The sequence below is a fragment of the Homo sapiens genome, chromosome 2 (assembly GCF_000001405.40).
Source record: "Homo sapiens chromosome 2, GRCh38.p14 Primary Assembly".
Classification (NCBI taxonomy): domain Eukaryota; kingdom Metazoa; phylum Chordata; class Mammalia; order Primates; family Hominidae; genus Homo; species Homo sapiens.
This window is the reverse complement of record NC_000002.12, coordinates 172,642,328-172,670,112: the sequence shown is the minus strand read 5'-3', so window position 1 is coordinate 172,670,112 and position 27,785 is coordinate 172,642,328. Positions and strand designations below refer to the sequence as shown.

General features: G+C 41.4%; 1 protein-coding gene across 6 annotated transcripts in view, besides 3 other annotated features; it reads right to left on the bottom strand.

Moving 5' to 3' along the window:
* Window positions 1-27,785, bottom strand: part of PDK1 (pyruvate dehydrogenase kinase 1) — a 168,940-nt gene that overhangs the window by 54,200 nt on the left and 86,955 nt on the right. The gene's annotated exons all lie outside the window — the stretch shown is intronic.
* Window positions 1,435-1,604: an enhancer, noted in NCBI's record as "experimental_56231 CRE fragment used in MPRA reporter constructs". NCBI's record gives its function as "activates a minimal promoter by MPRAs in K562 erythroleukemia cells, with activity observed for both the introgressed and non-introgressed 2:173533322 or rs16860789 variant alleles {active_cell/tissue: K562}" and the evidence as "EXISTENCE:reporter gene assay evidence [ECO:0000049][PMID:34662402]".
* Window position 1,519: a transcriptional cis regulatory region, noted in NCBI's record as "Neanderthal adaptively introgressed variant 2:173533322 (GRCh37/hg19 assembly coordinates) or rs16860789 in the experimental_56231 CRE". NCBI's record gives its function as "modulates activity of the experimental_56231 enhancer by MPRAs in K562 erythroleukemia cells {active_cell/tissue: K562}" and the evidence as "EXISTENCE:reporter gene assay evidence [ECO:0000049][PMID:34662402]".
* Window positions 14,345-14,514: an enhancer, noted in NCBI's record as "experimental_56221 CRE fragment used in MPRA reporter constructs". NCBI's record gives its function as "activates a minimal promoter by MPRAs in K562 erythroleukemia cells, with activity observed for both the introgressed and non-introgressed 2:173520412 variant alleles {active_cell/tissue: K562}" and the evidence as "EXISTENCE:reporter gene assay evidence [ECO:0000049][PMID:34662402]".

Here is a 27,785-nt window from a genome sequence, read left to right as displayed (position 1 = left end):
CCACTGCACTGTAGCCTGGTTGAGAGAGCAAGACCCTGTCTCTAAATAATTTTTTTTTTAAATCTATGCCTTGGCAATGAAATAAAAAAAAACTCAACAAATGGGATTGCATAAAACTAAAAAGCTGCTTCACAACAAAAGAAACAATAGAGCAAAGAGGCAACCCACAGATGGAGAAAATATTTGCAAATGATACATCAGATAAGGTGTTAATATCCAAAATATACAAGGAACTCAAACTACTCAAAAACAAGAAAACAAAGACTCCAATTTTAAAATGGGCAAGAGACTCAACCAGATGTCTCTCGAAAGAAGACGTGCAAATGGCCAACAGATAAATTAAAAAATGCTCAACATCTCTAATCATCAGAGAAATGCAAATAACACACAATGAGATATCATTTCACATCTATTAAATTTGCTATTACCAAAACAAGTGTTGGTAAGGACGTGGAGAGAAAGAAGCTCTGATACACTGGTATTGTAAATTAGTACAGCCATTTTGGACAACAATATGGAGGTTCCTCAAAAAAACTAAAAATAAAACCACCGTATGATCCAGCAAGCCCACTAGTGGGTATATAGTCAAAGGAATTGAAATCAGTATGCTGAAGAGATGTCTGCACTCCCATGTTTATTGCAGCATTTTTTACAATAGCTAAGACACGAAAACAACCTGAGCATCCAACAATCAGTGTATAGATTTTGTAAATGTGTTATATATACACGATGGAATACTATTCAGCTTTTAAAAATCAGGAAATGTGGCCGGGCGCAGTGGCTCACGCCTGTAATCCCAGCACTTTGGGAGGCCAAGGCGGGCGGATCACAGGGTCAGGAGATCGAGACCACGGTGAAACCCCGTCTCTACTAAAAATACAAAAAGTTAGCCGGGCGTAGTGGCAGACGCCTGTAGTCCCAGCTACTTGGGAGGCTGAGGCAGGAGAATGGCGTGAACCCGGGAGGCGGAGCTTGCAGTGAGCCGAGATTGCGCCACTGCACTCCAGCCTGGGCGACAGAGCGAGACTCCGTCTCAAAAAAAAAAAAAAAAAAAAAAAAAATCAGGAAATTCTGTCATTTGAAGCAGCATGGATGAAGCTAGGGGACATTATGTTAAGTAAGCCAGGCACAGGGAGACAAATATTGTATGAGTTTACTCCGTCTCTCTCTCTTTCTCTCTCTCTCTCTCTCTCTCTCTCTCTCTCTATATATATATATGTGTGTGTGTGTGTGTGTGTGTACATACATACATATATATGTGTGTGTGTGTATATACATACATATGTGTGTATATATATATAATGTATATATATACACATACATATATGTGTGTGTACATATATATAGAAAATATATATATATTTAATATATATAAAATAAAATGACATTTCTTCCTTCTGCTGGAAATACAAATGACAATAGCCTGACTGGTGGCCAATCAATAAAACAGTCATCATCATGGCTGGTTGACAACTGGTGGCAGCTACAGAGCACCCATCCAAAGAGGCCATAATTTCCTATGAGGTGAGAGTAGATGAGAGAGTCAAACAATTGTTAAAGTAACATTTTAGACACATACCCAAGCTCCTATCCATAGCTAAGCAGCAAGAGTAGGCCACTTGAGTTCAAAATTAAATCATAAAGGGTATATACAGTTTAGGTCGAGAAAAATAATAATCATAGAACTGAATCACAAGATTTATGGTTCACAGATCATTACTGGGGGTTTTTTGTTCTAGGAAGTAGAGATATAAGTGGGAACGAATAAAGATATGACCTTGAAGGTTGTTTTGGGTCTCTTAAACTTTGTTTCATTGCCAAAAAAAAAAAAAAATAAAGAAAGAAAGAAACCATCAGCTCAGGGTGTTGGGATTTTCCTAATTGTTGCTGGTTTGCAGTTATTACTGATGCCTCCAAGACTACCAGATTTCTAGATTCACTGAGGCTTGCTATGATTCATATTTGGGAAGGAATTCAATGAGACATTGCAAGTCCAGAAAACAGAAGTGGAGAAAACTCTTCCTGGAGCTTCTCTCAAATTTCCCAGAGTCAATCCTTTAAATAGGCTCCTGATTTTAGACCAGAAGTGAGACAATTATTACCTAACGTTTATTATTGAGACTTTCTCAAGAGCAGCTGCATAGACTTTTGCTCTGGCAAAGCATAATCTTACTGGATAACAATGCATTTGGAAGCAAGAAGCCTAAGATCAATTCCCGGTTTTGCCACTGATTAACTGTGCTGTCATTGGTGGCATTTAGTTTCTTATTGAAAGACTCTATAGCATTCATTAAGCTTTATTTATTGAGGACCCACATGGCAGAGAGCCCAAAACCAGAAGCTGTGTTAGTATGTGATGGTGATGTAAATTGTAATATGTGTACTTAGTAGAGAGCACTACAGAATACAGAATTACCTTATGAATTAGCTTATATCTGACAAGAATGTTTTATCAGATGGTCTTTACAAGAAACTGAGGTCATTGCAGTAATATTTGCGAAAACCATGCTTTTCTAGTTTCTGAATTTGAAGCTTTCACATCCAGGGAGTTGCTGACCTGGAGGATTTGTCCTTCCCAGGGTTAGCTAATTTCCAGAGATAGCAAATGTTTGCACCTTTCATATGCAAACCAACTAATTCAGAGCCTACATTACCAATCACCTTCTTTATTTGGTTCTTATACTCTGTGAAACTGTATCCCTCTCCTAATCACCCCTGGGCCAGGTACCAGGCAACTAGGGACAGCCCCATTGCCCCAGACCTTGCTGAAATTATTCAAAATAGTTCATTCTAAACCTGCTCACTCTGTCTTGCCTGTTCCTTCTGCAGACAACCACAATAAAGGCCCTTTCCCACATTTCCCTCTCATTCCCTCTGCTTTCTGACCACCCCAGTCCTACTTCCCTAGAGGTCCTGCTTCTGTTTTCTAGGAATATGTGAGTATTAAAAATGTCTTCCTTTTTCTAGTTCCCTTGAAAGGGTGAAAGGGTGAGAGTGGGTGAGAGATGAGAGACTACCTAATGAGTACAATGTACATTATTTGAATGATGGTTACACGAAAAGCCCAGACTTCACTACTACATAATATATCCACGTAACAAAACTGCACCCCTTAGATTTATACAAATAAAAAATTAAAAAATTAAAATTTCTTTCTTCACAACAAAACTTTCTGTGTCTGCGTAGGATATAATAAATTCCTCTTCAAAGGTTTTAGCCAGTAAATTGTTAAGTACAATGAGTTCTGAGATCCTCTCCAAAGAACTAATGTATCAGTATGTTCAGCTCTCTTGTTCTTTGTTCTTCATTTTAAACTTCCTCATTCTTTACGTCTCTTGCCCCTAGTTTCAGTAAATAACCCCCTTCTAGCCTCTATCACCTGCTCTGACCTTAGTCACCCCGGTCACCTACTCTGACCTTAGTCATCTTTGGTCACCTGCTCTGTTCTTAGTCACCCTGAGTCACCTGTTCTGTAACCATCCTTCCCACCAAACTAGTCACCCTGCCACTCCAGCTCGTACCCCTGCTCTTTTTAAAATAGCCAATCAGAATTAGCTTAGACTGTGTGGTCCAACCCTAGCCAATAGGGGAACGACACAGCAGTAGGGGCTACCTGCGTCAGGGATAAGAACCCCTTCCCCTCCCTTGTTCAGGTGTGCTCTCGCCATTGCTCCATCCACAAGATACACCCTTCTACAGAAGTAAAATTGCCTTGCTGAGAAAATTAAATTTATGTTTGAGTGCTATTTATTTGTGGCACTGAAAATTTATTTCCAACATCTGTATAGACTACTGGAGAAAGATACCTACAGGAATGTCTTCTCTGTACTCCTCTATTGATGTAAATCTTGAGCCTTTTAACGTACAACTGAGACATAAGGAATAGCATGTGTAGTAGGTTAGTGGGACCCTAGTCAAGTTGAGCTGTGGAAATGATAATCTTGTCAATGCAAAGGAGGAAATGCCTCAGTAAATCAAAGTATTGATCGTATATACAGCCCTCAACAGAGACCTAAAACATCAGGCCTTAATTAATAAAGAAGTTTATATTTCTTATATTACCAGAAATCTGGGAAGAGGAAATCCAGAGCTGACCCAGCTCCTCAAATATGCAGGCTCCTACTATTTTTCTGTTCCATCATCCTTACCTTTTGGCTTTCATGCTTATGGCCACAAAATAACTGCTGCTTCTCCAGGTGTTATGTCTGAGTGATCCAGGAAGAAAAATGAGGGAAGGAATAGGGCAAAGGGCTTTGCTAGCTCAGTCTGACCATTTCCATAGACACTCAGACTTTTCCACAAACCCCACCCCATCGATTGCTGCTTATGTCTGTTTGACCAAACTGTGCTACTTGGTCACAGGAGCCTAGAAATTAGATTTTAAAATGCCAACGCTGCATATCTGATTCTTCCTGTGCAAACTGGGGTTTTGTTATCAAGGAAGAATGAGAGAGAAAAGGAATCTGGTAGGCAAATTGCACTTCTGCTACAATTTTTAACAAAAGTGAGGTTAAGGGGCTTCAGGGTAGGCTCAGGCAACAGCAACAGCATAGCCACCTGCCTCTTCATGGATCCAAACAAAGGACAAAAAGTGAATTTATATGCAAGCCACACCTTCAGCATAACCTAAAGACAGAATGTCCAAACTTCAAAATAATTATGAATAGAAAGAGAATAATAAGTCCTCAGAACATAATTTCTCATTCCCTCACCACACCCTAGCCCTTAGGGCAAACAAAAGCAAACCTAGAGAGCTGCAGGGAAGGCAAAATAGGGAAGCTTGTGAAGGATCCTGAGTTTGATTTAACACTAGAAAGTCTAGGTCCACCCTAGTCTGAGATCAGAGCATGGACTTCAGGAAGGAACTTGGAAGTCTGGGCAATTTAAAGGGGGCAATCATTGAAACCCAAAAGTTCTGAGAAAGAACAAAAGAAACAAAAAAGAAAAGAAAAAAAAAACATTCTTTGGCACTAGGTGGGAAGAGTTAAAAAAGAAAAGATGGAAATTTTAGGTTCCTGCAAGAAAAAAGGGAAACATAAAAGCAGAGGATTCACAACTCTCTCTATCCCATCAAATAAAACCAAAATATCCTGCCAAAGACCTGGACTTTGCAATACCAACATAAGATGATGCCATTAAACCAAAAAGTTTGAAAACATCTTCATACCATAAAAATTAACAAATGGAAAATGAAGTCCATATGCAGCTATAACAAAAGCCAGGAAATGGAATTTCGATTATATCAACTGAGAAAAATTCTCCTCTGATAAAACAAGAATAGGCTAAAATTAAAAGTTAACAGAATAGACTCAAATTAAAAGTTAGTAAGAGGCACTGAAGAAAAGCAGGCAAACTATGAGGAGAATAAGAAAGGCATAAGTGAAGAAGGAGAAAGGGCCAGAAGAAGAGTAGCAGACATGGAAGACAGGCCAGTAATAATAATAATAATTTCTGTGTTATCAGAGTTCCTGAAGAAGAAAAAACAGAACAATGAGACAGAGCCAATATCTAAAACTATAATTCAAGATAACTTTATAGAGTGGGAAAAGACCTATGTCTACACATTCCTAGAGATCACTGAGTAATGGGAAAAATTTACCCAGAAGGATCATACTCCAAGGCAGAACCTAGTAAAACTATTAGATTTCAAAAAAGAAAGAAAAAATGAATGAATGAAACTCTCAAGCCTCCAGGAAAAAAGATCAAATAACTTACAAAGGTAAAAGAATTAGACTGGCATCAGACATTTCAAAACCAACATATAAAGCAAGGCAATGCTTTTTTTTTTTTTTTTTTTTTTTGAGGCAGAGTTTTGCTCTCGTTGTCCAGGTTGGAGTGCAATGGCACGATCTCGGCTCTTTGCAACCTCTGCCTCCTGGGTTCAAGCAATTCTCCCACCTCAGCCTCCCGAGTAGCTGGGATTACAGGTGCGTGCCACCATGCCCGGCTAATTTTGTGTTTTTAGCAGAGACAGGGTTTCTCCATGTTGGCCAGGCTGGTCGCGAACTCCCTACCTCAGATTATCTGCCCTCCTCAGCCTCCCAAAGTGCTGGGATTACAGGTGTGAGCCACCGCGCCTGGCAAGGCAATGCTTTTAAAAAGCTTACTAACCTCATTCCTACGAGAGGTTAAAAAAAAAAAAAAGCCACATATGGTGGCATAACCCTGTGTGTGGTCCCAGCTATTTAGGAGGCTGAAGTTGGAATGTTGCAGAACTTTTCCTTAGTTCAGCTAAAGATGGGGTCCTTGTCTATCCTATGGCCACGAAGATTTAGGTTCACAGACAGTTTGAAGGGTGAGTAAGACAGGGTTTTATTGGGTTAAAAGGAAGAAAAGGGGGAAACAGGGACTCTCACTAGGCCAGAGTCCCAGCTAGAGTGCTTCCTGCCCAGCATTTGAATCCCAGATTCCACCCAAGAAGCGGAGGGGCCAGGCTCCTCCCTGCTGCAAATGCAGTGAACTTCCAAGGCTCCACCTCAGTGGGCAGGCTGGTTGGAGTTTCTCCAGGACCCCCTCCCACCTGGCTGTCACAGGAGGATCGCTTGAGCCTGGGAGGTGGAGGCTGCAGTGAGCTGTGATTTGACACTGCACTCTAGCCCCTAGGTCACAGAGTGAGACTCTGTCTCAAGAAAATTCATTACTTTGGTCTCCAGAGACATCCATCCTTTTTGGCTCTAACTTACCACAACCCCACATGGCAATCTGCACAACTGTGTGGGCTAAATTAGGTCCCCTGCAAAATTCATATGTTCAAGTCCTATCAAAATGTGACTGTATTTGGAAAAGGAATCTTCAAGGGCAATTAAGTTAAAATGAGGAGGCCATTAGGATGGGCCTTAATCCAATATGATTGGATTAAGAAGAATAGATAAGGACATAGACTCAGAGGAACGACCATGTGAAGACAGAGGGAGAAACTGGTCATCTACAAGTCCAGGACAGAAGAAACCAGAAACCTGGAAGAAACCAGCCTGTTGATACTTTGACCTCAGACTCCTAGCCTTTAGAATGGTGAGGAAATACATTTCTGCTGTTGAAACCACCTGGTCTGTGATACTGTGTTGTTAACCCTGGCAAACTAATACACCAACCCTTCCTCTTTCCTTCTTACATTCAGCAAATATGCATTGAATATGTCCCCACATCAGGCACTGGGCCACAGGTTGAAGCTAGAGGGATCAACTTGCAGACACAGTCCCTGCCCACATGGAGCTTCCAGTTTATCAGGGGAGGTCTTTTAAAGACTTAGTATAGGACTGGGATGGCATTCCCTGAAGAAAGAAAAGGAGAAAAGAGGGGGAAAAGGCCTAGTCATGCATGCACCTTTTTTCTAGAAATTTCTCCTAAGGAAAAAAAAGGATGTATTATTTAGCTGCAAAGAAGTGCTTTGTAGGGTTGTCTTTTTTATTTGTCACTTGTTTGTTTTATTTATTTATTTTCCTAAGGTTGTATTTTTAATTGCCACAAATTGGGAATGATCCAAATGTTCAATCATTGAGGACTGGTGAAATAAGTTATAATCAGTACGACAGCCTTCTATGGAATAATTAAAAATCTGAATAACATGGAAAGATGCTCTCCAAATGCTCTTTTACACACACACACACACACACACACACGATTTTAAAAAGTCTTCCCTTTATAGCTATAATTCAATATTTGTTTAAAAATACGTATATGCATATGAGTCATGTTATCTCTTGGTGGAGAAATTACAGGAGCTTTTTACTTTATTTTTGCTTATCGATACATTTTTAAGATTTTGTACAATAAACAAAAGCTTCTTCTCATCCACAGAGGGCAGTGCTGGCTAATCAGAACTGAATTTTTAGAGTGAATTGTGGCCTCCTGACAGCTGTTTGCTGGTAAATATCTTATAATTGTATCTTTGAGTGTAGTTCCACCATGAGTTTTGGTTGATGTTTTCATTTACTTTAATGAGTAAGGCAAAAGAAAGATAATGAAAATGTATGTTGGAACTTCACTCATTCACCAATGATGTGAATGACTTCCTTGTACTGAATCAAATAATAGTTTTTGAAAACTAGAATATTCTCTTAGTGTTTGTACTATTCACATTGTAACAACTACAGACACATGTATAATCTGCATTAACATTTTTCTTCCACACCTTTGTAAAAAATAATTTCAACTTTTATTTTAGACTCAGAGTGTACAAACGCAGGTTTGTTACATGGGCATGTTGCCTGATGCTTAGGTTTGAGATACGAATGATCCCGTCACACAGGTGGTGAGCATAGTACCCTATAGGTAGTTTATCAGCCCCTGCCCCTCTCCCTCTCTCTCCCTTCTCATAGTCCCTATTGTTTATTGTTCCCATCTTTATGTCCATGTGTAACTCATGTCTAGCTCCCAATTACAAGTTACATGCTGTATTGGTTTTCTGTTCTTGCATTGATTTGCCTAGGATAATGAACTCCAGCTGCATCCATGTTGCTGCAAAGGACATAATTTCATTTTTTATGACTACATAGCATTCCATGGTTCAACCATTTCTTAAATCTACACAATCAAAAAAATAATAAATCAAGCCCTGGCTTTCAATATTTGTAATTCTATGATGTAAAAACTCCAACCGCAGCTGATTTCATGGCTGACGTCACTGAATGTGGAGTTGGGCAGGACATGTAGCAGTACATGATTATGTGGTATTTCCCCCAGACGGGCACCAAATAACCTCAAGAACAGCAGCAAAGTGTAGTAAGACAATTAAGAATTGATGGTTTTTGAGTATTTATTACCTTTGTTTTCAATATATAATTTTTATATAATTTATACAATAATGGCATATAATTTAAGCTTAAATAATGGCTGTGTTTGACCACCAGGTTGCAAAATTCCTAAACTGTAACAGTCAGCTCTCACTCCTGCACCCCTCTGCCTGGAGGTCTACTGGGAGAGGGTAGAGCCTACTGTAAGCACAGCTACATTCAACTGAAAACCATAAGCCTCAGCCCTAGCTGCTGATCAGAATGAACATTCCTGATGAAATGTCAATTTCACTTCCTCACCTTGTAGGTCCCTCATCTTGTAGGGTCACATCATCATCACACCCATACCAACCCCCCAACGTCAGTATGAATCTCATTTTTGTCTTTTTTTGTATACCATTATCAAACTTATTTATATCACTACCATCTACAGAGCTCATGAAAGCAAAGAATATTTATTCTTGTCCTTCTTCCCTTGCCAGACAGGTAAGTCCAGAGCTGGAACTCTGGCTTGGGCTTATTTAGAGCAACAGGGCAGAGACCCTGCACCTGCAGGGAATGGAACAAAAGAGAACTGAAGAAAGTGCCTGGACAAAGAGAGGCTCGAGCAGGAATCCACAGGAAACCCAAAGTGTCCACAGATTTGAAGTTGAGGACCTGCTTCGACCAGGGCTGCCCCCACCAAGCAGAAGTGTCCTTGAGGCTGTCACATATAAGCAGCATAAATAAAATTTCAAGGGAGATGTTAGCCCATTAAAAGAACAATATGATTAAGGAGGTCACAATTATCATTCAGAGGCAAGCAAAATAAGGGAAAGCAATTTGGCCAGGCACTGTGGCTCACACCTGTAATCTTAGCACTTTGGGAGGCTGAGGCAGGTGGATTGCCTGAGCTCAGGAGTGCGAGACCAGCCTGGGCAACATGGTGGAACCTGTCTCTGCTAAAATACAAAAAAATTAGCAGGGTGTGGTGGAGTGCACCTGCAGTCCCAGCTACTAGGGAGGCTGAGGCAGGAGAATTGCTTGAACCCAGGAGGCAGAGGTTGCAGTGAGCCGAGATCATGCCACTGCCCTCTAGCCTGGGTGATAAAGCAAGGCTCCATCTCCAAAAAAAAAAAAAAAAAAAAAAAAAAGAGAGAGAGAGAGAGAAAGCAATTTTACATAGATCGATACACTGACATGTTAATTACAAACCATCCCCTTTAATCTGTTCAGACATTAGTAAACAATCCTGGAATCTCTGATCCATGGAACCCTGGGCCTGGGGTCAGTCCCTCTCTTGCTCTCACCCTGCACCTTTCTCTATTTTCTCTGGTTGCCTAAGCTGGTTACCAGACTCCTCAATTAGCAGAACCCCCATGCAGCATCAGAACATCCTCTGCATCTCATTCCCTCACATTCCTGCTAGATGGCAACTTAGATCATTAGATTCACCAAATCTAATGATTCAGCTGGTCAAATCCAGCTAAAGCGTGTGTGGTTTGAAAGTGTTCCCTTCCCAGAAAAGGTGCTGCTCCTTAACAAAAAGCCTTCAATAACTTATTCCAAAGGGATTGATTACAGATATATTTTAGACAGTCATGCAGGGCTTGGGGTAGGAGACGTTTGGAGCCAGGAGAGCCTGTTAAAGTACCCTACATTGCCCTGTTTGAAACTAATAGAATTGTATTCATGTTGAGGTCATCTCTTTTCAGAATTTACTGAATGGATGCTTTCCTCACGATTGATTCAAAATTATGAGTTTTTAGTGTACTTTAAAACATTGGTTCCCCTAGCATGTGGGTTAATGTAGGGGAGGCAAAATTTTACCTCTACCCTCTTAGAGATTTTTTCGGTTGTGGGGTGCTGAGAATTAAATTGACATAAGACAGATCAACAGAAGAAAAGCATACAAATTTATTTAATCCATGTTTTATGTGGCACAGGAGCCCTCATAAGAAAATGAAGACCCAAAGATGCAGTTAGGGTTGAACACTTATATACTGAATGGAACAAAGAGTAGTAAATTATGAATATGTGAGAAAGCAAAGGGCCTTGGGCTAGGGTAGTTACTTGGGTGAAACAGCCAGGAAGATAAGGGTTAGTGAAATTAGATTTGTGCTATAGTTTGGATGTGGTTTTATCGGGGGAAACCGCCCCCCGTATTTCAACATGATATTTTGTCTAAGTGTTGGCGGTCTGAGAAAGAGAAAGAGTACAAAGAGTGGAATTTTACAGCTGGGCTGCTAAGGGGTGACGTCACATAGTGGTAGGACTGTGATGCCCACCTGAGCCACAAAACCTGCAGGTTTTTATTAAGGACTTCAAAAGGGGAGGAGGTGTACAAACAGGGAGTAGGTCACAGAGATCACATGCATCATAGGGCAAAAAGGAGAACAAAGATCACATGCTTCTGAGGCCAATAAAGATCACAAGGCAAAGGGCAAAGCAAAGATCACAAGGCAAAGGGCAAAATCAAAAACTCCTGATAAGGGTCTATGTTCAGCTGTGCACATATTGTCTTGATAAACATCTTAAACAACAGAAAACAGGGTTTGAGAGCAGAGAACCAATCTGACCTCAAATTTACCAGGGAGCAGTTTTTTCCCCACCCTAATAAGCCTGAGGGTACTGCAGGAGACCAGGGCATATTTCAGTCCTTATCTTGACTGCATAAGACAGATACTCTCAGAGCGGCCATTTATAGACCTCCCCCCAGGAATGCAATTCTTTTCCTAGGGTCTTAATATTCCTTGCTAGGAAAAGAATTTAGTGATATCTCTCCTACTTGCATGTCCGTTTATAGGCTCTCTGCAAGAAGAAAAATATGGCTCTTTTTGCCCAACCCTGCAGGCAGTGAGACCTTATGGTTGTCCTCCCTTGTTCCCTAAAAATTGCTGTTATTCTGTTCTTTTTCAAGGTGCACTGATTTCATATTGTTCAAACACACATGTTTTACAATCAATTTGTACAGTTAACACAATCATCACAGTGATCCTGAGGTGATATACATCCTCAGCTTACGAAGATAACAGGATTAAGAGATTAAAGTAAGACAGGCGTAAGAAATTTATTATAAGAGTATTATCAGGGAAGTGATAAATATCCATGAAATCTTCACAATTTATGTTCCTCTGCTGTGGCTCCAGCCAGTCCCTCCATTCGGGGTCCCTGACTTCCCAAAACATGGTTTGTTTTCACCAAATCTCATGTTGAAATTTGGTCCCCAGTGTTGGAGGTGGAGCCTAATGGGAGGTGTTTTCATCACAGGGATGGGTCTCTTATAAATAGATTAATGCCCTCCCTGGGAGGTGGTGGGGTGGTGTGAGTTAGTTCTCACTCGATTAGTATCCACAAGAGCTGATCATTAGAAGGAGCCAGGCACTTTCCCCTTCTCTCTTGCTTCCTCTCTCCCCATGTGATCTCTGCACATGCCAGTTCCCCTTCACCTTCCACCAGGAGTGGAAGCAGCCTGAGGGTCTCACCAGAAGAAGATGCCGGCATCATGTTTCTTGCACAGTCTGCAGAATCAAGAGCCAAATAAACCTCTTTCCTTATAAATTACCCAGCTTCAGGCATTCCTTTATAGCAACTCAGAATGCGCTAAGACTGTACAGATTTCCTTCAGCCTCAACTTCTTATCCTTGAAGGTAAGAATAATGCTTTCCTTCTGGCATAGGGAGAGCATCTTTCACATGGGAATTTCATCTCCTGCTTTTAAGAAACTGAAGAAAGGTCAGAGTGATCTTCTTGCACCTGCTATTGTTCAAGTGCCTTTAACTTAAAATAGTCAATATGCCAGAGCAAGATATTTTGGGGTATCATGCTTTTAACTCCTTCAGTAATTGGAAGAAATCTATGAGTCCATAAGTGTATCAGATTTTATCTGTAAATTAATATTAAATAATACAACCTGCACATAATAAAAACCACAAGTTAAAAAATATAAGCATCATTTAAAAGCAGTATCGAAACACTTCTGGTTTCTGGTTCAATATGAAAAGAACTTGGAAGTCATCATTCTCATCCTCACAACAAGAAATAAGCTGAACAAACCAAAAATCAACAATTCTTCTGACCAGGCACGGTGGCTCATGCCTGTAATTCCAGCACTTTGGGAGGCTAAGGTGTGGAGGTCACTTGAGCCCAGGAGTTTAAGATCAGCCTAGGCAACATAGTGAGACCCCATCTCCATTTAACAATAATAATAAATAATAAAAATAACAAAACAAAACAATTCTTCTTAGATCCATCAGAGAATTGAGGTCACAGGGCAAACCACCTCCCAGAAAATTTGCAAGACAGGAGGATGTAGAGAATCACAACTTACCAAGAACAGAAGCCCAGTAATAAAAGGCCAGCACTGGAGGCAATACCAGTAGGAACACAAACTGTAATTGACAAATTGCTGGAGCCTCAACGTGAATGAGCTTGGGAGTTAAAAACTCTGGGTGAACCCAGTCTTAGGAGAGCCCCCACACTTGTCTTGAGTCTTACCTCCAAGAGTCTCATCAAACTCTCAGGTGAAAGTCAGAGAAAAACTTCCCCTCATGTGTGGGTGGGGGAATTACTTTTTTTAAATTTTATCTTTTAATTTTTATTTATTTATTATTTTGAGGCCAGGTTATGAGACTATTTTTGTATTTTTGGTAAAGACAGGATTTTGCCATGTTGCCCAATAAGGCTGTTCTTGAACTCCTGGCCTCAAGAAGTGATCCTCCTGCCTCAGCCTCCCAAAGTGCTGGGATTACAGGCATGAGCCATCACATACAGCCGCATGGGGGAACTATTTTGCAATATACTAGAGGCTTTGTTTTCTTTAACAAAAGCTTGCCTTCCAGGGAAACTATTTTACCAGGGCCTAACCTAATTGGGTTTTGCCAGAGCCTAATCAACCTGGGGAAGAAAAATACTCAACTCCAATCCTCTAGGCTCCTCTAAGGGAGGAGCATGGGGGAGACCTGAGAAGCACTTGTAAAGGTCACAGCCCAGGGACACGGGCTCACCACAAGCTGAGACTTAATCATAGGACTGTAGAATGTGTCCCCCACCCCACACCTCACTACCACATCAATCAGGCTCCTATAAGATAACAAGGGTTTACAGCTAAAAACAATGTTGAATGTATAGTAGCTTATTGCTCTGTATTTTCATAATGTGGGATTCCGCCACTATCATATGGAGGCTCAGTAAATCGTTTTAGTGTAAAAAATACTTAGAGATTCTGAAACCACTGTTCTAAAATAAAGCTACCTAATTGTACTTGAGGATAATCTCAGGTCTTAAAGAGAGAAAAATGGAAACAATCTGTAGTGAATTTAGTGCAGATAATAAAGCTTCATATACAAATAAGGTGATGTTTATGGAGGACAAACTATAAAGATCCAGGGAAAGATGACTCATCTTTATTGAATATCTCTCATGTTTAAAGTGTTTGTGTCTTCGAAGAAACCAAGCTTCATGCTAGATTTGAGTCAAAAACAAGCCAAAGTCACTTCTTTACATTCAAGTACATGTGTGACCCGCTTCTCCCAGGATGCTGGACAAGAGTTTGGGATACAGAGAGCTGTCACACTGGCACTCTGCCCTTACAGAAAGGCAGAGGGTCCACTGAGCTGGCCAACACTCAAGCCATCCGTGGACAGCAAGGCTAAAAGGGCACACTGTAACACACGCCCACTTGGGCTCCTGCACTTGTCCAGCTGCCTGCTCCCCATCCCGTAAGGGGTTGAAGGGATGGTGACCAAACAGACAAGCCACACCCCTGTCAAACATCAGGCAAAGGGGTTCAGGGAACTCTCCCATTTCACCACCATGCTGCTTCCAGAATGACCAAGAAATGATCCAAGAGCTTAGAAGATATGGCTTAGCACTTTTTCACCTTCTTACGTGAAAAGAAAGTTAAATAAAATGTAAGCCTGGCCATGTGAATGTGAAATAACCAAAGGAGTGGAATGAGCTCTTTCTATTAGTGGGATTAGCAAAAGGTTCCTAAAAGGGGTCACTGGAAGTGAATCAGCAAGACCTGGAATGATGAATGTGTGATAAAAACCACGATTTGTTCAACACTGGGAAATGTGAACAATGCTGCCTAAGGAGTTTGTATTCAATAAAATGCTCTCTAAAGAAATAGTTTTAAAGCTGGTCCTCGGGACAGATGATCACCTTAAAGCAGAGCCCATGGGCCTCATCCAGACCACAAAATGGGAGAAGGGCTTTGCCAGGCTGCAGAAGCCTGCTGACTCCAGCCACCACGTGGGCAGGGCTGCAGGCTGGATAGCGGGGGAGCTCCAAAAGGTGGGTCAGGAGCTACAGAAGTTCCCCTTATCATCCAAAATCCAGGATATTCTGACTGTGGAGTCTTTGAAGACTACCATGCTTGTTTTTGTCCATCTATGGGGTAGTGGCTTGGGGAAAGGGGATGACAAGGCAGTACTGAGTATAACTGACAAAATCCCAATCCCCTGCAGCTCACAGGCTTTCGTGCTTGTATTGTCTTCTCTGCCCGCTATTAGGTAACCTCTCGGGTGAAACCGTCCTTACAGCTTATCCCTAGCCAGGTAGGGAGGCCGTAGACTTGCTTAGGCAACTGGGTTTTCCACGAGGCAGAGTGCACTGACATTAAAAAAAATTTTTTTTATTATTATACTTTAAGTTCTAGGGTACATGTGCACAACACGCACATTTGTTACATATGTATACATGTGCCATGTTGGTGTGCTGCACTCGTTAACTTGTCATTTACATTAGGTATACCTCCTAATGCTATTCCTCCCCCAGCCCCCCACCCCACGACAGGCCCCGGTGTGTGATGTTCCCCACCCTGTGTCCAAGTGTTCTCATTGTTCAATTCCCACCTATGAGTGAGAACATGCAGTGTTTGGTTTTCTGTCCTTGCGATAGTTTGCTCAGAATGATGGTTTCTAGCTTCATCCATGTCCCTACAAAGGACATGAACTCATCCTTTTTTAATGCTGCATAGTATTCTACATGCCACATTTTCTTAATCCAGTCTATCACTGATGGACATTTGGGTTGGTTCCAAGTCTTTGCTATTGTGAATAGTGCTGCAATAAACATACGTGTGCATGTGTCTTTATAGCAGCAAGATTTATAATCCTTTGGGTATATGCCCAGTAAAGGGATGGCTGGGTCAAATGGTATTTCTAGTTCTAGATCCTTGAGGAATCGCCACACTGTTTTCCACAATGGTTGAACTAGTTTACAGTCCCACCAACAGTGTAAAAGCATTCCTATTTCTCCACACCCTCTCCAGCACCTGTTGTTTCCTGACTTTTTAATGATTGCCATTCTAACTGGTGTGAGATGGTATCTCATTATGGTTTTGATTTGCATTCTCTGATGGCCAGCAATGAGCATTTTTTCATGTGTCTATTGGCTGCATAAATGTTTTCTTTTGAGAGGTGTCTGTTCATATCCTTTGCCCACTTTTTGATGGGGTTGTTTGTTTTTTTCTTGTAAATTTGTTTAAGTTCTTTGTGATTCTGGATATTACCCTTTGTCAGATGGGTAGATTGTAAAAATTTTCTCCCGTTCTGTAGGTTGCCTGTTCACTCTGATGGTAGTTTCTTTCGCTGTGCAGAAGCTCTTTAGTTTAATTAGATCCCATTTCTCAATTTTGGCTTTTATTGCCATTGCTTTTGGTGTTTTAGTCAGGAAGTCCTTGCCCATGCCTATGTCCTGAATGGTATTGCCTAAGTTTTCTTCTAGGGTTTTTATGGTTTTAGGTCTAACATTTAAGTCTTTAATCCATCTTGAATTAATTTTTTTTTTTTTTGAGATGGAGTCTCGCTCTTGTCGCCTAGGCAGGAGTGCAGTGGCACGATCTTGGCTTACTGCAACCTCCGCTTCCCAGGTTCAAGCAATTTTTGTTACTTAGCTGCCCAAGTAGCCAGGATTACAGGTGCCCACGACCATGCCCGGCTGACATTTGTATTTTTAGTAGAGATGGAGTTTCACCATGTTGGCCAGGCTGGTCTCAAACTCCTTACCTCAGGTGATCCACGCACCTTAGCCTCCCAAAGTGCTGGGATTACAGGCATGAGCCACTGCGCCTGGTGAATTAATTTTTGTATTAGATGTAAGGAAGGGATCCAGTTTCAGCTTTCTACATATGGCTAGCCAGTTTTCACAGCACCATTTATTAAATAGGGAATCCTTTCCCTATTCCTTGTTTTTGTCAGGTTTGTGAAAGATCAGATGGTTGTAGATGTGTGGTATTATTTCCGAGGGCTCTGTTCTGTTCCATTGGTCTATATCTCTGTTTTGGTACCAGTACCATGCTGTTTTGGTTACCATAGCCTTGTAGTATAGTTTGAAGTCAGGTAGCGTGATGCCTCCAGTTTTGTTCTTTTGGCTTAGGATTGTCTTGGCAATGTGGGCTCTTTTTTGGTTCCATATGAACTTTAAAGTAGTTTTTTCCAATTCTGTGAAGAAAGTCACTGGTAGCTTGATGGGGATGCCATTGAATCTATAAATTACCTTGGGCAGTATGGCCATTTTCACGATCTTGATTCTTCCTATCCATGAGCATGGAATGTCCTTCCATTTGTTTGTGTGCTCTTTTATTTCATTGAGCAGTGGTTTGTAGTTCTCCTTGAAGAGGTCCTTCACATCCCTTGTAAGTGGGATTCCTAGGTATTTTATTCTCTTTGAAGCAAATTGTGAATAGGAGTTCACTCATGATTTGGCTCTCTGTTTGTCTGTTATTGGTGTATAGGAATGATTGTGATTTTTGCACATTGATTTTGTATCCTGAGACTTTGCTGAAGTTGCTTATCAGCTTAAGGAGATTTTGGGTTGAGACGATGAGGTTTTCTAAATGTACAATCATGTCATCTGCAAACAGGGACAATTTGACTTCCTCTTTTTCTAATTGAATACCCTTTATTTCCTTGTCCTGCCTGATTGCCCTGGCCAGAACTTCCAACACTATGTTGAACAGGAGTGGTGAGAGAGGGCATCCCTGTCTTGTGCCAGTTTTCAAAGGGAATGCTTCCAGTTTTTGCCCATTCAGTATGATATTGGCTGTGGGTTTGTCATAAATAGCTCTTATTATTTTGAGATACATCCTATCAATTCCTAGTTTATTGAGAATTTTTAGCATGAAGGGCTGTTGAATTTTCTCAAAGGCCTTTTCTGCATCTATTGAGATAATCATGTGGTTTTTGTCTTTGGTTCTGTTTATATGATGGATTACTTTCATTGATTTGTGTATGCTGAACCAGCCTTGCATCCCAGGGATGAAGCCAACTTGGTCGTGGTGGATAAGCTTTTTGATATGCTGCTGGATTCAGTTTGCCAGTATTTTACTGAGGATTTTTGCATCGATGTTCATCAGGGATATTGGTCTAAAATTCTCTTTTTTTGTTGTGTCTCTGCCAGGCTTTGGTATCAGGATGTTTCTGGCCTCATAAAATGAATTAGGGAGGATTCCCTCTTTTTCTATTGATTGGAATAGTTTCAGAAGGAATGGTACCAGCTCTTCCTCATACCACTGGTAGAATTCGGCTGTGAATCCGTCTGGTCTTGGACTTTTTTTGGTTGGTAGGCTATTAATTATTGCCTCAATTTCAGAACCTGTTATTGGTCTATTCAGAGATTCAACTTCTTCCTGGTTTAGTCTTGGGAGGATGTATGTGTCCAGGAATTTATCCATTGCTTCTAGATTTACTAGTTTATTTGCGTAGAGGTGTTTATAGTATTCTCTGATGGTAGTTTGTATTTCTGTGGGATCAGCGGTGATATCCCCTTTATCATTTTTTATTGCGTCTATTTGATTCTTCTCTCTTTTCTTCTTTATTAGTCTTGCTAGCAATCAATTTTGTTGATCTTTTCAAAAAACCAGCTCCTGGATTCATTGATTTTTTGAAGGGTTTTTTGGGTCTCTATCTCCAGTTCTGCTCTGATCTTAGTTATTTCTTGCCTTCTGCTAGCTTTTGAATGTGTTTGCTCTTGCTTCTCTAGTTCTTTTAATTTTGATGTTAGGGTGTCAATTTTAGATCTTTCCTGCTTTCCCTTGTGGGCATTTAGTGCTATAAATTTTCCTCTACAAACTGCTTTAAATGTGTCCCAGAGATTCTGATATGTTGTGTCTTTGTTCTCATTGGTTTCAAAGAACATCTTTATTTATGCCTTCATTTCGTTATGTACCCAGTAGTCATTCAGGAGCAGGTTGTTCAGTTTCCATGTAGTTGAGCGGTTTTGAGTGAGTTTCTTAATCCTGAGTTCTAGTTTGATTGCACTGTGGTCTGAGAGACAGTTTGTTATAATTTCTGTTCTTTTACATCTGCTGAGGAGTGCTTTACTTCCAACTATGTGGTCAGTTTTGGAATACTGTGGTGCTGAGAAGAATGAATATTCTGTTGATTTGGGGTGGAGAGTTCTGTAGATGTTTATTAGGTCCACTTGGTGCAGAGCTGAATTCAATTCCTGGATATCCTTGTAACTTTCTGTCTCATTGATCTGTCTAATGTTGACAGTGGGGTGTTAAAGTCTCCCATTATTATTGTGTGGGAGTCTAAGTCTCTTTGTAGGTCTCTAAGGACTTGCTTTATGAATCTGGGTGCTCCTGTATTGGGTGCATATTTATTTAGGATAGTTAGCTCTTCTTGTTGAATTGATCCCTTTATCATCATGTAATAGCCTTCTTTGTCCCTTTTGATCTTTGTTGGTTTAAAGTCTGTTTTATCAGAGACTAGGATTGCAACCCCTGCTTTTTTTTTGTTTTCCATTTGCTTGGTAGATCTTCCTCCATCCCTTTATTTTGAGCCTATGTGTGTCTCTGCACGTGAGATGGGTCTCCTGAATATAGCACACTAATGGATTTTGACTATCCAATTTGCCAGTCTGTGTCTTTTAATTGGAGCATTTAGCCCATTTACATTTAAGGTTAATATCATTATGTGTGAATTTGATCCTGTCATTATGATGTTAGCTGGTTATTTTGCTCGTTAGTTGATGCAGTTTCTTGCTAGCATTGATGGTCTTTACAAGTTGGCATGTTTTTGCAGTGGCTGGTACCGGTTGCTCCTTTCCATATTTAGTGCTTCCTTCAGGAGCTCTTGCAAGGCAGGCCTGGTGGTGACAAAATCTCTCAGCATTTGTTTGTCTGTAAAGGATTTTATTTCTCCTTATGAAGCTTAATTTGGCTGGATATGAAATTCTGGGTTGAAAATTCTTTTCTTTAAGAATGTTGAATATTGGCCCCCACTCTCTTCTGGCTTGTAGAGTTTCTGCAGAGAGATCCGCTGTTAGTCTGATGGGCTTCCCTTTGTGGGTAACCTGACCTTTCTCTCTGGCTTCCCTTAACATTTTTTTCTTCATTTCAACTTTGGTGAATCTGACAATGATGTGTCTTGGAGTTGCTCTTCTCAAGGAGTATCTTTGCGGCGTTCTCTGTATGTCCTAAATTTGAATGTTGGCCTGCCTCACTAGGTTGTGGAAGTTCTCCTGGATAATATCCTGAAGAGTGTTTTCCAACTTGGTTCCATTCTCCCCATCACTTTCAGGTACACCAATCGGACGTAAATTTGGTCTTTTCACATAGTCCCATATTTCTTGGAGGCTTTGTTCATTTCTTTTTACTCTGTGTTCTCTAAACTTCTGTTCTCGCTTCATTTCATTCATTTGATCTTCAATCACTGATACCCTTTCTTCCACTTGATCAAATCGGCTACTGAAGCTTGTGCATGCGTCACGTAGTTCTCATGCCATGGTTTCCAGCTCCATCAGGTCATTTAAGGACTTCTCTACGCTCTTTATTCTAGTTAGCCATTCATCTAAGTTTTTTTTCAAGGTTTTTAGCTTCTTTGTGATGGGTTCGAACATCCTCCTTTAGCTCGGAGAAGTTTGTTATTACCGATCATCTGAAGCCTTCTTCTCTCAACTCGTCAAAGTCATTCTCCACCCAGCTTTGTTCCACTGCTGGTGAGAAGCTATGTTCTTTTGGAGGAGAAGAGGCACTCTGATTTTTAGAATTTTCAGCTTTTCTGCTCTGGTTTCTCCCCATCTTTTTGGTTTTATCTACCTTTGGTCTTTGATGATGGTGATGTACAGATGGGGTTTTGGTGTGGATGTCCTTTCTGTTAGTTTTCCTTCTAACAGTCAGCACCCTCAGCTGCAGGTCTGTTGGAGTTTGCTGGAGGTCCACTCCAGGTGCTGTTTGCCTGGGTATCACCAGCAGAAGCTGCAGAACAGCAAATATTGCAGAACGGCAGATGTTGCTGCCTGATCCTTCCTCTGGAAGCTTCGTCTCAGAGGGGCATCCAGCTGTATGAGGTGGCAGTCAGCCCCTACTGGGAGGTGTCTCCCAGTTAGGCTACTTGGGGGTCAGGGACCCACTTGAGGAGGCAGTCTGTCCATTCTCAGATCTCAAACTCCGTGCTGGGAGAACCACTACTCTCTTCAAAGCTGTCAGACAGGGATGTTTAAGTCTGTAGAAGTTTCTGCTGCCTTTTGTTCAGCTATGCCCTGCCCCCAGAGGTGGAGTCTACAGAGGCAGGCAGGCCTCCTTAAGCTGCGGTGGGCTTCACCCAGTTCGAGCTTCCTGGCAGCTTTGTTTACCTACTCAAGCCTCAGCAATGGAAGACGCCCCTCCCCCAGCCTCGCTGTGGCCTTGTAGTTCAATCTCAGACTGCTGTGCTAGCAGTGAGAGAGGCTCCATGGGCATGGGACCCTCCGAGCCAGGCGCGGGATATAATCTCCTGGTGCACCATTTGCTAAGGCCATTGGAAAAGCTCAGTATTAGGATGGGAGTGTCCTGATTTTCCAGGTACCATCTGTCATGGCTTCCCTTTGCTAGGAAAGGGAATTCCCTGACCCCTTGTGCTTCCCAGGTGAGGCGATGCCCCGCTCTACTCTGTGGGCTGCACCCTCTGTCTGACAAGCCACAGTGAGATGAACCCAGTACCTCAGTTGGAAATGCAGAAATCACTCGTCTTCTGCATTGCTCACGCTGGAAGCTGCAGACTGGAGCTGTTCCTATTCGGCCATCTTGGAACCTCCCTCCTCTATTCAACATTTAACATTTTTCTGTTTTGAGATAAACTTACAGAAAAGATGCAAAACTAAGAGTTACTAATATATATCTTTCACTGACCTTCCCTTAAGGTGAACATCTTACCATCTAACCATAGGACAATTAGTAAAACCTGGAAATTAACACTGTTACAATACTGTTAACTAAACTGTGGACCTTATTTAAATTTTATCGGGTTTCCTACTAATATCCTTTTTCTGGTCCAGAATCCAAGTCAGCTTCCCACGTTGCATGCAGTTTTCATTTCTTCTTAGTCTTCTTCAATCCATGACAGTTTCTAAATTTTTCTTTGTCATTCATGACTTTGAAACTTCTGAAGGTTACTGTTCAGTACCTCAATTTAGGTTTGCCTGGCATTTTCTCATGATTAGATCAAAATAAAACATTTCTGGCACGAATATTACAAAGTGGTGTGACCTTCCTTATGTCTTATTATTGGTGATATTCAGCTTGATTCTTGGTAAAGGTAGTGTCTGCTGCGTTTCTTTGTTGTGAAGTTACAGTACCTTCCCTTAGAAACTAACAAATATCTTGTGGTAAAGACTTTGAAACTCTGCAACTATTCTGTTTCTCATCAAATTTTTACCTACTAATTTTAGCATCCATCAATGGATCTTGCCTGCAACAATTATTACGGTAGAGCTTGCTTCATAGTGAGTTTCCATTTTCTGCATTCCTTTTACATTTATTAATTGGAATTCCTTAAGGATGAATTGTCTCTTTTCCTTCCTTTATTTTTTACTCATTCATTCAATTATTTATTTATGTAAGTTTGGACTCATGGATACTTAACTTTTTTCTGAGGGCTATAATGAAATGCTATCATTGTTTATTTTAGTCCTTGAATTAGCACTACTTTGGCCATAAGTTGCCTCCTGTGTCCTTTTGACATGCCTCCATTATTTTTTGAGCAGTTTCTTACTTGCATTTTACAGCTTCTCTCTTTTCAGCATATGCTCCTCAGTGTGGTAGCCTCAAAGTCCCATCTGTCCTGACCAAGAAGCTGGCTTACCAAGAGTGATCACCACAAGGGTCCCTCAACTTCACAGTGTATCCGATCCATCATATTCCCTGCGCCCCCTCCCGAGACTCTGATTTAGCAAGTCTGATGTGGGCTTATATCTAGATTCTGTAAATAAACACACAAAAAACTCATTAGGTGCTGATTCTGAAGCTCGTCCATGTTTGGAAATCACCATCCTCCTTCATGGGCTATGGCAGTATGCTCCTTATTGGCCTCTAAATTTTGCTACTCAAAGTGTGATCCATGTACCAGCAGCATGATCATCACCTGGGAACACGTTAGGCTGGGCATGGTGGTTCACTCCTGTAATCCCAACACTTTGGGAGGTCAAGGCGGGTGGATCACCTGAGGTCAGGAGTTTCAGACCAGCCTGAGCAACATGGTGAAACCCCGTCTCTACTAAAAATACAAAATCAGCCAGACATGGTGGCACATGCCTATAATCCCAGCTACTTGGGAGGCTGAGGCAGAAGAATTGCTTGAACCTCGGAGGCAGAGGTTATAGTGAGCTGAGATCGTGCCATTGCACTCCAGCCTGGGTAACATGAGCAAAACTCTATCTCAAAAAAAAAAAAAAAAAAAGGAAATGCAAGGTTTGGGTCTCTCTGACTTGAAGCAAAAATCTCTGGGGACAGAGCCTAAGAATCAACATTTTAATGAGCTCTTCAGGGAATTCTTATGCATGCTAGTCTGAGGAGCACTGAAATGAGCTATATTGTAACTACTAAAAATCACAGGCAGGCTAACAAAATTCATCCCTCCAGTCTAAACTCTACCTGAAGCAACTGCATCAAGTTGACCGCTTTTTTTTTGCCTTCGATGTGTTTATCTAAAGATTCCCATAATTCAACATTCTCCTTTTCTTGAGTATCATCCAAACAGTTCCAAACAGATTACTTGGTGCCTCTATGAGGCTGTCAAATTAGAAAGAAAAAAAGGGGATTTTTGTTTGCAAAGAGTAATATAAATATTCCACCACAGAGCACCATTTCCTTTTTCATTTCTAGCATCCTTCTCTCAGATGAAACAATGCCAAAAAATTGAAACAAAACAAAAATAGCAAATATGTTAATTAAGTTGTCATCTAATTTAAACTCCTTTTGTATGAGAATCACTCTTCAACAGACATATATAAGAAGTCATTTTTTCTGTTGTGTCTTAATCTATTTTGCATATTATTATCTATCCACAGCAAACCCTTCAGTAAATTATAATAATCCAGTTGGGGCAGTGCACACTGTGCAATTATGCTATCTTATTTAGTATTTTAAAAGGTGTTATTTGCTTCATTGTTAAAGGTACATGTTTATAAAGAGAAGAAAATATAGAAATGAGTATTTTGGCTAAGTTTACCCACAGTAGCCTGACTCAATCAACCAGTCAGTGAAATGTTTTAAAAATCAGGTTTTTGGTGTGACATCTGACCAGTCATATACATTATTTTATTACTGCATGATCAAACTGATTTATTCAATCATGTATCCAACAAACATCCTTTCTGCCAGGTACTGTGCTGAATCTAGGGGAAATAAAGATGAATAAAAGAGTCTAACAGAGATGGAGAAGGTTGCAGTGACCACTGCTCCAGTCTCTATGGCTATGATGACAACACATTACTTGTCCTGTCCTCTAGACACAGTCTAAGTCGTTTTTCTCTTGGAGCACCATAGGCACAACCATCCTCTTTCAGTAGTGGCGTTATACAGTGCCTCAAATAGATGTAAACATGTATTAAGAGCACAATAAAGCAACAGTTTTAGGCCAGGCACAGTGGCTTACACCTGTAATCCCAGCATTTTAGGAGGCCAAGGCAGGTGGATCACTTGAGGTCAGGAGTTCAAGACCAGCCTGGCCAAAATGGTGAAACCCTGTCTCTACTAAAAATACAGAAATTAGCCGGGCGTGGTGGCAAGCGCCTGTAGTTCCAACAGCTCCAGGAGAACCGCTTGAACCCGGGAGGCAGAGGTTGCAGTGAGCCGAGATCGTGCCACTGCACTCCAGCCTGGGCCACAGAATGAGACTCTATCTCAAAAAAAAAAAAAAAAAAAAAAAAAAAAGCCTATTTTGTACTGTGTACATTGCTAAGCCTTTTAAATGTTTATCCAATGTCATCAGTGCAGTGCTGGTAAATGGATTTCTGGGGGAAAGGGCACGATATGTACTTTTTGCTGATTTCTGTAGTGTAAATACTCTCATCACAGCTAATTTCAAGATACCCAGTGTTTAAAAATTGGCTTATAAAATCCTGAAAATTTAACCATTGAGTCTCCCATGGTATGAGCTAGTTCCAGCACACCACCGAATGTAATCCTCACAACAAGCCTATGTACTGGGTATTAGTATTAGTACTGTCATAGTAATATTATCTGTATTTTACAGATAAGAAAACCAAGGGCATAAAGAAGTTAAGTAATTTGTTTAGGGTCATACAGCAAACAGCAAAGTTAGGATTTAAACCTGGGCTCTGTGAGGCTAAAGCTAGTATTATACTGACTGACATCACACTCCTTATGTGTAATAAGTATGGAATAAGATGAAAAGTTATTAAAATTCTCATTTGCATTTTCCAGATGATTCGAAAGCAGTCCTTCACATTGGAAAAGGAAGCCATTGCTTCTTTGGCTGTGAGACTTTCTCAAGTTCAAGTTGTATTTATCCTGCGGCTCAGAGCTAACCCATTCATTGAAGAGTTTGCTTTTCACTTTAAACTGTGCTTATTATCCATATAGGCAAACATTTTCCACAAGGACTAATAGTAATCACAACTCTCATTTATTGAGTACTTGAAATGTGCTAGACACTCTATACTCTGTGTGTTTCATTTTATTTAATCCTCACAACCACCCTGTAAAGTAGGCACTATTACCATTCCCATATTACACACAGGAAACTAAGGCACAGAGGAGGCTTAAAAAAGGCCCAAGCCACACAACTAATGACCATCAGAGCCAGGATTTAAGCCCCAGGCATGTTTTTAGAGCCTGAACTATTTAACTATTATGTTATCATAGTCAGTCCTGAAACACTACAGACAGAGGTGCGGGCTGATTTTATGTCGCAGCAGCCCAACTCCTTGTTATATTCCTTGAAGTTTTTTTCTGGTACATTTTTAAAGTCTCTCTCCCTGTCCTGTCCCTGGTCATCTCTCCTTTCTTACCTACAGCAGGTGTTTGCTGTGGCCAGAAGAGCTGGATGCCTCCTCATGCCCTCGGGGCATCTCCAAGTCTGCTTTGCTGTACACCTGTCATGCCCTTTGATGTTAACCATTCTCCGAAGATGGCACTCATAGAACTCAGTAATGGGAACTGAAGCTTCAAGTTTCATATAATGGGGGAACACATGAGTCACTGTGGGTGGCTAGCCCACCCTTGACATTTGTGGGGCCTGGGGGCAAGAATGCTAACGGAGGCCCACATACCATTTGTCTAAATATTTAGAATTATAAATCAAGCTATTAAACTGTTAAATCAAATGTACTCTGTTCTTCATAATGCTTTAGGGAGCCAGGCTGGAATTTAGAATTATTGAACTCCTCAGAGTTTCTCACGGTGGGGCAGGGAGAACTGGCCCTTAACCAGAGGCCTGTCCCATTTTCTCCCCACCCTCAGCTCTGTCCTTTCACACATGAATGTGGACATTCCAGCCCATACATCCAAGCTAGGTCCCCCTTCCCAACAAGCAGCTGCCCCTTGGCCACCCCTTGAGTCTAGGGGTGCACACACTGGAGATGTGGCCTGTCCCCAGGAAGATAGACCTAAGGAGGAGGCCTGCTTAGGCCTGGATGTGCATTCTGGGTATTTGGGCAGGAGATTCCAGGGCCCAGGGGCTAGAAGAGATGCCTTGAGGCTAAAAGAGGACTCAGCACAGCCCTCGGAAGCACAGGGCTCACGGCCACACCCCACTGCTGCAGATCGAGGCTTGGGACTGATGGTGAGTATGCTCTTCCTGGAGTACAACTTTGAACGTGTGGGCGTTAAGTTTGAATGACTCAAGTATTTGACAAACGGATGACAGGAGGTGAGGTAGTAACCTAATATTTATAAAACTGCCACCATTATGAGGTGACAGCTACATGGCAATAGCTAACAGTCACCTTTTCAGCCCCAATGTCCATAACACCAATGTGAGAGCTAATGCAGTAACACCATTTGGCTAATGGCTTATAACAAACATGACATTCCAAAAAGAACTACAGTTTAATTGAAGGGAAGACTCCCAGCGCTTTCCTAGGTACAATCAGAGTTACTGAGTGCTACCTCCTTCCAAAGCTCCTCTTGAATAGGCAAATTTTGGGATAATCTTATTTTAGTTCACTGAGTATGAAAACAGATGATGTCCTAAGAGAAAAGGTTTGACACTTAAATTTCCTAACTCTCACCAGAGAAGAAGAAGGAGGAGTAGGAGAAAGAGGAGAAAAAGAAGGAAGAGAAGGAGGAGGAGTGGGAGGAGGAGGAGGAGAAGGAGGAGAAGGAGAAGGAAGAGGAAGAGGAGGAGAAAGAGAAGAAGAAGGAGGAGGAGGAGGAGGAGGAGTGGGAGGAGGAGGAGAAGGAAGACGAAGAGGAGAAGAAAGCCAGTACCTTGGCACAAAGTGCCTGAGGGAGGGAGCCCAAGATCATGGGACACACTTGAGGATGGGACCGGCCACCCTGTCAGGAAGTCTCTATGAACACACTAGGCCCAGCTCATTCTCTCGCTGGCTCAAAGCTCTCAAACTTCCTAGCACATCAGACTCACCTGGAGGGCTTGTTAAAAGGCAACAGAGCCATTGGGTCCCACGCTGAGTTTGTGATTCAGTAGGTCTGGGGTGGGGTCCCAGATCCTGCATTTTAGCGAGTTCCCAGGAGATGCCGATGTTGTTAGTCTGGGGACACCACTTTGAAAACCTCTGCCTTAGGGTTTTCACAGCCACTCCTACACCATACTCACAGCTCAGCTTCCTCTATAACTGTGCCCCCACCACCTTCCTAATTACATAATTGATATTCCATCT